Source organism: Homo sapiens, chromosome 6 (genome assembly GCF_000001405.40).
Source record: "Homo sapiens chromosome 6, GRCh38.p14 Primary Assembly".
Lineage (NCBI taxonomy): Eukaryota > Metazoa > Chordata > Mammalia > Primates > Hominidae > Homo > Homo sapiens.
In genome coordinates, this window is record NC_000006.12 from 168,339,196 (window position 1) to 168,349,321 (window position 10,126).

Consider the following 10,126-nt stretch of genomic DNA (forward strand, 5'->3'; position numbering starts at 1 on the left):
AGAACAATTGGAAAAAACAAAAGAAAGAAAAAGAAACAGTTTTCACAATCTCACCTTCCAGAGTCACATTTCTACAACCCTGTTTAGGGTGCATTTCTATCTTTTGGGGGCCTTATATTTTATGTTAAAAATGAAATTACATAGTGCACACAGTGCATTTACACCACTATAGGTGTGTTTTCACACTGCTATAAAGAAATTCCCGAGACTGGGTAATTTATGAAGGAGAGAGGTTTAATTGACTCACAGTTCCGCATGGCTGGGGAGGCCTCAGGAAACTTAACGATCATGGTGGAAGATGAAGGGGAAGCAAGGAGCTTCTTCACATGGCAGCAGGAGAGAGAAGTACAAGCAGGGGAAATGCTAGATGCTTATAAAACCATCAGATCTTGTGAGAACTTACTCATTATCACGAGACCACCATGGGGGAGACTGCCCCCATGACCCAGTCACCTCCCTCCCTCGACACGGGGGGATTACCATTCGAGATGAGATTTGGGTGGGGACACAGAGCCACACTACATCACACAGGTAACCTGCGCTCTTTGCTTGGCATTGGGTGAGTGCTGTCCTCTGTCTCTGTCACCTGCCCTGGCTCATGGTTACATGGATGTTCAATCTTTGTTGGTGCATGTAACAGTTTATGAATCTGCAGCTTGGATGCAGTTACCCCATCCCTGCTGTGCTGCCTACGGGGTGACTCCTCACTCAGCCCCCATCGCCCACAGTGCTGGCTTTGCAGGTCTGGGCCTACACTTGGCCATCTGTGTCTTTCCTGCCAGGAAGTCCCTGGGAGCACCAGCCTGCTCCTTCCACTTCCTGCAGCTCACTCAGTGAGCACCTCGGTGTTTTCTTTTCAGTCCTTGAATTCACAGCTAGTGATTATTTATGTCGAATTCTCTTTGTTAAGTCGTTGGGTCTGCATCATCTCCCGACTCGACCTCGATGGACACACTTGCTACGACATGTCCACTGGCAGCTAAATACGTGTTCATCTCTATTTTATATCTTTAGAAAACAGACACAAAAGGTGAATGGCTTATGTACATTGAAAAGGTTGCCCCTCAGAAAGTTGTACTGATTCACGCTTTCAACAGCCACGCCTAGGCACTGTGTTCCCACACAGCCTTGCTAGACTGATTATTATTTTTTAATTGCATTAATTTAAAATAAGTATAAACTATTTAAATAATATGAAATCAACAAAATATAAATATTTATAACTAGATAATCCTGAAAGGCAAGGAATTAAAGGGAATTAAATTCTATGTATAGTCTAACTTTTAGACCGTTTTCTTCTTATAAGGCATTTACTATATAAGGCACTGTGTTTTAGAAACATTGGTCTGTTTATTCCTCATAAGTAACCTATGAATATTCATTAGTCTTCCCATTATATAATGGAGAAACTGGATCCCAGTAACTGACACAAGGCCCGTATTAGGCCAGCCTGTGGCCTGAGGATGTCAGACTTCATAGTGAACCACGGGAGGAGGGGATCCTGTGGTTTAAGAGCACAGGCTCTGAAGGCAGACCTCCTAGGGACCTCAAAGCTGCCACACTGTGGATCCCATTGTCTACGAGGAAATGGGCCTACAGGAATCACATGGAATGCCTCTGCTGCTCCGCAAGATTCTCTGGAGAAACACCTCTCCCATGGTACGCTGCCTTTGCCATTTGCGGCTGGTGATAAATCACTGGTGCCCAGTGTGGTCCCCGGGGCCCCAGGTGGATGCAGGTACATCCATGTGGTCCTGGCAGGCTCCATGGAGGAAATCCAGATGGTCCCTTGCGGGCTTTGCCTGGTCCGGTCCCTCCTGTTCTCAAGCTCATGGCCTGCTGAGGTCCAGTCTGGGCCTTCACTCAGCCATGCTGCCCCTTTGCTTGTAGGGTGCCCTTGGCTGTGAACGCCTCCCCTGAGGTGCCAGGACATGCACCTGCCCTCCCCCCAGGCCTCTCCCATGTCCCATCCTACCATGCGCCCTCCCTGACGCCACTCAGGGCCTCGTCTCCCTCTGTGGGCTCGGGTCACCTGTCTTAGAATCGGTGCGAAGACACATCCATGTCTTCCTCTTTGTGGAGGATGCGTCCCACCACTAGCTCCTCCTTAACGACTGGTTTCATGGTGGAGGGGAGCTGGTGGGGTTTGCAGGCGAATTTTGCCCATTCTTCACCCTTACAGAATCCAGACAACTTCGGGATGTTTTCTGCTTGAATTCCCAGACTGCCATTTCATTCAGTTTGTGTCTAGCCCATGTCAGGAATGCACTCAGCAAGCAGGCACTCAGGCCAGGTGCTCAGACCAAATGCAAGCAAGTGGTAGGATCCCTTCAGCCTTCTGGGCAATGTGTCCAGAAACTGATGGCATCCATTTATGAAACTGAGGGTTCTCTGAGCTTGAGTAAGTGCAGTAAGACATAGGGACATTCTGTCAGCAGCGTGTCCAGCTAGAACATGGAAGGAAGGAATTCTGGGTTGTCATGAAGTCTGTGGTCACCTCGTGAGTGTCCCTGAATAAATTGTGTGTCAGTTTCTCTTTCATTGCCAAAGATTTGAAACAAGCAGGACTTCGATGTCAATTTCCAAAAGAAAATTGTTAATGAGAGAAATAATATTTTGTTGCTTTTTCTCTTTAGCAGCAGTCGAATGAATTGACTGAGATCACTTTATCTGGCAAAAAATTATAACTGTGATTTCTCATCCTCTCCCTGTTTCCAACTAATAGATATTTTTATTTTGCTAACACATATGTAACATAAAATTCAATGTCTTACCCATTTTTAAGTGTGCAGGTCAGTGGCATTAAGTGCATTCACACTGCGGTGTGAGCATCACCACCATCCACCTCCAGACCCTGTACACCTTCCCCAACAGAACTCGGTCCCATGAACCCTTACTGCCTCCAGCCTCTCGTGTCCACTCTCATACTCAGCTTGGATTTTCACTCCAGCAACTTTGGCTGTTTTGTTTTGTTTTCTAATTTGGAAAGAGTGTCTAAGGCAGTGGGGAGTGTTGTAGGTGGCAGAGCGGTGGACGTTTGCTAGAAAACAGTAACGGTGTGTGTTGGTATGTAGGTGGAAAACATCTGCGTGGTTATTTTCTAAACCTTTCTTCCTGTGAGTTATGTTTATGTGCCGCATTAAACTGCAAGGTGCTGGAAGGTGGCTACATGCCTGGACTTCACTTGTAGCACATCATTTGTGGAAGGCTGCAGTAAGTACTCAATACTTTGCTGTTGATTGATTTCAGAACGGATTGATCAGATTGCAGAGCTCTGGCAGGTGCCACCGGCTGCCTAAATTCATCATTCATCAAAAAGCCTTCTGAAAGTTGGGTCTCTAGCGGGTGGTTTGGGCCACTTTCCTCCTGATCAAGGGGTCATTCTTGACATGTGGGTTTATTATTTTCTCCTCACATTTTAATGCCACGCATTTGAATTGACGCCTGGGTCCAATGAGTTGGCGCAAAGGACCCACTGAGTCCAGACACGCCCTGGCGGCACCGGGGCCCTGCTTGGCTCAGACACGCCCTGGCGGCACCCAGGCCCTGCTTGGCTCCCCTGGACGGAGCCAGAAGACCTCCTCTTTGTCAGGAAGTCTGCAGGTTTCAGAGACTAATTCTCTGCTGGGCATGTGTCCAGAAGAGGTGTAAGGAGTGACAGATTGATGGAAAGGCACGGCACCTTGGCTGGACAGGCTCGTCCTGTTTCTGGGCGGGCGGGGCGCACGCCTTCCGTGTTTGGTGGAGAAGCAGCCTGTGGTGAGGAGCGAGGAGCCAGAAGGACGGCTTGGGAGTGCCCTGGGGGACCTGAATTGCTGTGAGTGTTGACAGCTCAGGAAAACTTACTCTTCTGTCAGAAGAAATACGTCTTTTAGGAATTGGCCTGAGTTAGAATCTCAGATGCTAAGAAATCGACCGACTTTTCAGGAAAAAGGTGTGTTTTCAGCCTTGCTGTGAGTGGCTGTGAGAAGGGTCTGATTTGTCGCTGATACAGGTTCCTAAAGGGAGTGCCACTGCCCCAGCTGACAGCTCGCTGCAGGTGAACCCCAGCTTGCTTCCTAATGTTCTGTGCTCAGGAGGGGAAGCTCCCAGTGGCTCAAGTGACCCTGGTGCTGTGTGCCTGCAAAGTTCTCCGCAAGCGGGGCAGGACCAACTTGCCACCCCAGACACAGGATAAAAATTGCAGCAGAGCAAGACTCAAGCTGGATCACGTGGTGTGGTGACTTCTTTACTTCGCACCCCTTTTCAACCTTAACATACTGAAGGGGAAGCGCTGTGGAGAAAACCGGATGATGGGTGGAGACCAGGAAGGGTACAGGGAGCCCACCTGTGGAGACGGGAGGACCACGTGCGGATTCTGTGCCTGACGTGAACGTGCTTGCCAGGTGTCCTGCGTGGTCTCCGGCCACCACAAGGAGAGCCTCCCTCTGCACTTGCCTTCACCCTGGCTGCCTGTTAGAGAGCTACAGGGCAACTATGAAAAGTCACTCGTGCCAGCCCTCCCCATCCCTCCCCACATGGTGTAGCCAGCCTCTCCATGGTTGGTCTACGTGCAGCTCTGCAGGTGACCGAATGTGCTTGCCCGGAGAACCTGCCCCTGCAGAGCCCCTCAGTTGGAGACCTGGTGCTTTTCAAGGCCAGACACCTGATCCTATATCCAGCACACCCTGGTGAACACCAGAAACCCGGGGCACAGGAAGGGACCCTTGTTTGCCTGTGGAAAGTGTTAACAGGAACTTGATGCATTTAGACCACGTGTTAACTTTGGGCGTCACTGACGGATGTCTGAGAACTTGAGGTGGGGAGATGGCGATTTAGCTTCTCAGGCTGGCCTGGGTAATTAAACTACCGATGTTATTTATGAGTTTTGGTCTTAAAGTGTTGTGCAAGCACCAGAGGCTTCCTAGCAAAGAGAGTGCGATTTTCTTAATCACATAAAATCTCAAGGTCCTGGCAGCTGCTCTTCAGAGGGTGTTTCCCGCTGTTGCAGCTTAATCTGGTAGCGAAGCTGTTGATTGAGTTCCCGTGAGTAACAAGAAACAGCAGAGATTTGTGCATTTCTACGTACGGCAAGTCCTGGCCCCAACAGCTTAGTGCTACACCTACCAGTTGTGGGAAAATTTACATTTCCAGGAAACTGCATACAACTGGGTAGAGCGCTGGTCCTTCAGGGAGAGAAGTGTTCCAGTTAAATATGGCCATCTTCTTCCTCCGTCTCCAAGAATACAAACACATTATTTTAAGAACCAAAATGGCTGAGCCCACAATTGTAGCATGAACAGCCCTAGGCATTAAACAACAGGTTAAGTAGCTCTTGCTGTCTATGAGCCCAGCTCTGACACTGCCTGGGTGAGGGCCTAGCCCCCAGTGCCTGAGTTTCTGCATCTGTGAGCCCAGCTCTGGCACTGCCTGGCTGTGGGGTGCTAGGCCCTCAGTGCCTCAGTTTCCATATCTGTACACTGGGTCTCCAAATGGTGTTGACCATCATGGAGTGGTTGTAAGGAGTTAATGACTCATATGCATGAAGTTCTTAGAACAGGCCTTCCCCTTTGCCAGCACTCAATAAATGTCAGTTATTATTAGCAATATTAGGGTCAGGCTACAATAGTAAAGGGTAGTGTTTTGTCCCTGAGAGGATTGGAATCTAGATGGAATGAGAAATAATAACAGCAGCCATCATTTGAATTTTCCCTGTATACCGGGCAGCAGACTAGCACGTTGAGTAAATATCTCAAGTAAAGGGTACAAATCCAGGTGGAAACAGAGAAGGAGCCTGTGACAGAAACTGTGCAGCCAGGAGAGGCCGGATCTACATGCTCAGAACACAGGGTTGTCGGCGAAGCTTCCCCGAGAGCCCACTTGGACCTGTTGTGGGAAGAGACGGCAGAGCTAAGACAAGCAGGTGGGTGCCGTGGAGGAGCCGAGAGCCGATTGCAAACAACAGCAGAGGACGTCTCCTCTGCGACTGTGGGACTCCCCTTTCCTAGGTGTCTTTTAAAGCAGAATTGATTCCCACCCTGCGGGGAGAGGGGCGTGCGGTGTGAACCTGCTGGCAAGAAGGGGAGGGAGTGAAATCTTTACAGAGCACCCTCCGTGAGGCCGGATTTTTAGAGGTAGGGATCAGGAACCACTGGGGCAGTCCCTGCAGGGGGTGGTCTGGGCTTGTGTGAAAACCTTGGCGAGGAGAGACCCATGCCAGCGACGTGGCGTCCTAAGCAGGACGTCCAGCGAGTCAGTCACCAGCGCGGGCGCCTCGTCCTGTCCATGGAACATTCTGGGCTGCGCCGCCTCCCCTGGGGGTGGGGCTGCAGGAACCCTCAGGACCCTCACGCCCTGGGGGAGGAAGAAGCCTGGGCTGAGTCCCAGTGCTTGTGGGGAAGCTCTGAGCGTGGACACCGTGGGCACTGACCACTGGGGTGAGGACCTCACCCCTTCCCTGCACGTCTGTGCTGGGCCTTGAGGGAGGAGTGAGCACAGCCCCCCCCGGCCGGCGGGGCAGCCGAGGGAAGCTTGGGGGCAGCCGGGGGGCAGCTGGGGGAAGCTGGGGGGCAGCCGGGGGGCAGCTGGGGGAAACTGGAGGGCCCCTGGGGGAAGCCGGGGGACAGCTGGGGGACAGCTGGGGGAAGCTGGGGGACAGCCGGGGGAAGCCGGGGGACAGCCGGGGGAAGCCGGGGGGCAGCCGGGGGAAGCCGGGGGACAGCCGGGGGAAGCCGGGGGGCAGCCGGGGGACAGCTGGGGGAAGCTGGGGGACAGCCGGGGGAAGCCGGGGGGCAGCCGGGGGAAGCCGGGGGACAGCTGGGGGAAGCCGGGGGGCAGCCGGGGCAGCCGGGGGAAGCCGGGGGACAGCTGGGGGAAGCTGGGGGGCAGCCAGGGGAAGCTATGAGCATGAGGAGCCAGGGGTCCCCTTGGGAGAGGAGGGAGTGTGGGTGTGGAGGGCGCCTGCTGCCCAGGCTCAGCCCCCAGAGCCAGGCCGGAGAGGGAGGGCATGGAGTCACCAAGCGCTTTAGAGCCGGATGCAGAGGTGCCTGTGTACGCATTCACTTCCACGGGAACCAGCAGCGTGTGGAGGAGGCGCAAGGGGACTGGGTGAGTCCTGCTGTGGCTCCAGTCCATGCCCGGCAGCTGTCAGGGATGCAGAGAAGGACGCGACCCCAGAGGGCCAGAATACCCCGTCCGAAACTCACTCTGGCTTCAGAGGCCGAAGGAACAAACCACATCCTCTGGAGCCAGATGGACAGAGGGCTTCTTGCCTGGCTGTTCGTTGACCTGGTGGATACTGCCACGTCCAGGTGCCTGGGAGCCCTGCACGGGGAAGGGAGGCCATTCCCCCAGGGAAGGGGGGTCCCCAGACCCCACCCCGCAACAGGGAGGAGCATTTATGGGGGTGAGACTAGGAGAGACGTGAAAAACCCTGGGTTGCTCTGGCTCGTGGGGACCTTGAGGTTTCCAGGCGGTGGGTGTGCATTCCAGGCCCATGTTTCCAGCCAGGACTTGCCTGGGGCCTCCCTGCCCCCGGCCTTCTGCACCCTGCTCAGTTTTCTTTGCAGCCAGCACATTCAGGCTGTATAAATACTGTGCTCACCTCTCCTAGAAGAGAGGCCAGGCAATGGCAGGTGCTCAGTAACACTTGAATTCCTGAAGGCATGGGTGCAGGTGAAAGTGTGAAGGGAAGAGCTTAGCTGTGGGCTACGTTTTCTAGATTGGTGGTTCCCAAATTCTGGTCCTGGAGGCCCTGAGCATTGGGTGCGGGTGATGGAGCGGGAGGCTCGTTCACAGTGCAGGCTTCTGGGTCGAACCAGGTCCTGATGAGAGAGGCTTTCCAGGAGCTGCTGTGGAAGCCACATTGTCTGATGGTGACTCCCAGGTCCACATCACCTTTTTATCTCTGTTGAGTCAGTGCTGTCACCCTGTCTTGGCTCTGCTGGGTGAGAGAGGGGTGACCACAGTCCCATGTTTGGGTCAGAGTGTTGAAGGGAGATGGAGCAGGCTTTACTGGGGCTGGGCGGGTCTCGGTACAGGAGTGTGGGGAATGAACACAGACATCTAGAGAGTATGAATTAGCAAGAGGAGCACTCATAACACCACTGTCCTGCTTAAAAATGCAAGACTCCCGAGAACCCGCCCAGAGCACAGGCTCGTCCCGCACAGCGGGAGGGACTACTCAGGGGCTGGGGTTGTCACCCACCCAATTTTATCTTTAAACATTTTCCCCATCTGTGGTTTGGTCTGGTTTTGAACTTTATATTAAGGGAATCACACTGTGTTTTTCTGATTATGGCATTGCTGTGAAGAGCCCTCCAGGCACCTGGCTTCCGGTCTCAGCTCTGATACTCAGAGGCGGTGTGATGTCCTAGCCTCAGTTTCCTGATCTGTTCAATGGATGATCATAATCTGTATGTCTTAAGTGACTGTATTAGTGAGTTAGTAGAAGTGCCACCTTTGAACACCAATGGAAGCCGTGGTTATTTGTAAGCTTGACCTGCTATTTCACTCAGTGCCGTGTTTCGGGTCCGTGCTTGCTGATGTGTGGAGAGCAGTTGGTCCACGTGTTCACTGTAGAGTGCCGTATTCCGTGATCCCGCCACAGCTGCTCTTCCAGGCCTCTTGCCTGCAGGGCGTTCATCCCCACCACCATGCTGCTCAACATGCTTACACGTGTCTCCTGGCGCCCTCTGCAAGCACGCGTTCCACTCGCTGGTTAAGCTGAGTGTTGCCCAAGTGGTGGAACCTCCTTCCTCCCTCACCTGCGGGGAGACCCTGCTGTCCCAGCCCCTTCCTCGCTCACCTGCGGGGAGACCCTGCTGTCCCAGCCCCTTCCTCGCTCACCTGCCGGGAGACCCTGCTGTCCCAGCCCCTTCCTCGCTCACCTGCGGGGAGACCCTGCTGTCCCAGCCCCTTCCTCGCTCACCTGTGGGGAGACCCTGTTGTCCTAGCCCCTTCCTCGCTCGCCCAGCTCACAGGCCCCTCTCCTGACCATGGGCACCCGCCCGCCCAGCTCACAGGCCCCTCTCCTCCACCCATCCCTTCCATGTAACGTGAACTCATTGCTCATGAAGATAAGCAAACATGGCACAAATAAGCAGCCCCCTCACCTCATGGGGACGGTTCAGAATTGGCCCAGAAAGAAGTGACCAGGATTTGGAGCACGGCCCTGAGGCCAGAATTAAGAGAGTCAACACTTCGTCCTGGGTCTGTCTCATGGGGCGGCAGCAGCCTCCTGCAGGGGAAGCGTAGTCACTCCCACACAGAGCAGGGTCGGAGCTTATCCCACAAAGGGCCAGGGAGCAAGTGTTTTAGCCCTTGTGGGACAGGAGGTAAAACTGAGGGTACGATGTAGGTACTTAGGTGGCAGCAGAGAAAGCCAAGATGACATTCAAAGCTTTAGACATGGATGTTTATTTAGCTGTCATATAATTTTCCCCTCACGAAGTCTTCTCCTTCTGCTGATTATTTTTTCAAATCTTTTGAAATATAAAATTATCCTCAGCTCACAGACACTACAAGGACAGTTGGTGGGCTACAGTTTGCTGACCCTGGCATGAAAAGCAGGTGCAGAGCAGAGCGGGTCTGGAGAGAGGGATGCAGGCTTGGGCCAGGCCTCTGGGAAGGCTGCCCGCTGCCAGCCTCAGGTGCTGCACTGCCCTATGCTCACCCTGGAAGGTGCGGGCACCGTTAGATGCTGCCAGCACACTTGGGCCTGCAGTGATTTTTGCTCGTAAATCAGTCTCTTCTATGATAAATTACTCTAGGAAATTTTCTTTTCTTGGCTGGGCATGGTGGCTCACGCCTGTAATCCCAGCATTTGGGAGGCCGAGACGGGTGGATCACCTGAGGTCAGGAGTTCATGACCAGCCTGGCCAACATGGTGAAACCCCATCTCTACTAAAAATACAAAAATCAGTAGGGTGTGGTGGCGGGTGCCTGTAATCCCAGCTGCTTGGGAGGCTTAGGCAGGAGAATTGCTTGAACCTGAGGCGGAGGTTGCAGTGAGCCGAGATTGCACCACTGCACTCCAGCCTGGGTGACAAGAGTGAAACTCCATCTCGAAAAAAAAAAGTTTCTTTTCTTGTTGCAAGCCCCAGTTAAACACTCTAACAGGGCTGATCGAAACCACGGCAGCTGCCTG

General features: G+C 53.2%; 1 annotated feature.

Annotated features, from left to right (window-relative positions):
- Positions 8,315-8,815: an enhancer, noted in NCBI's record as "H3K4me1 hESC enhancer chr6:168748190-168748690 (GRCh37/hg19 assembly coordinates)". NCBI's record gives its function as "activates a minimal SCP1, AML or CMV promoter by ChIP-STARR-seq in naive H9 embryonic stem cells {active_cell/tissue: H9 hESC(naive)}" and the evidence as "EXISTENCE:reporter gene assay evidence [ECO:0000049][PMID:30033119]".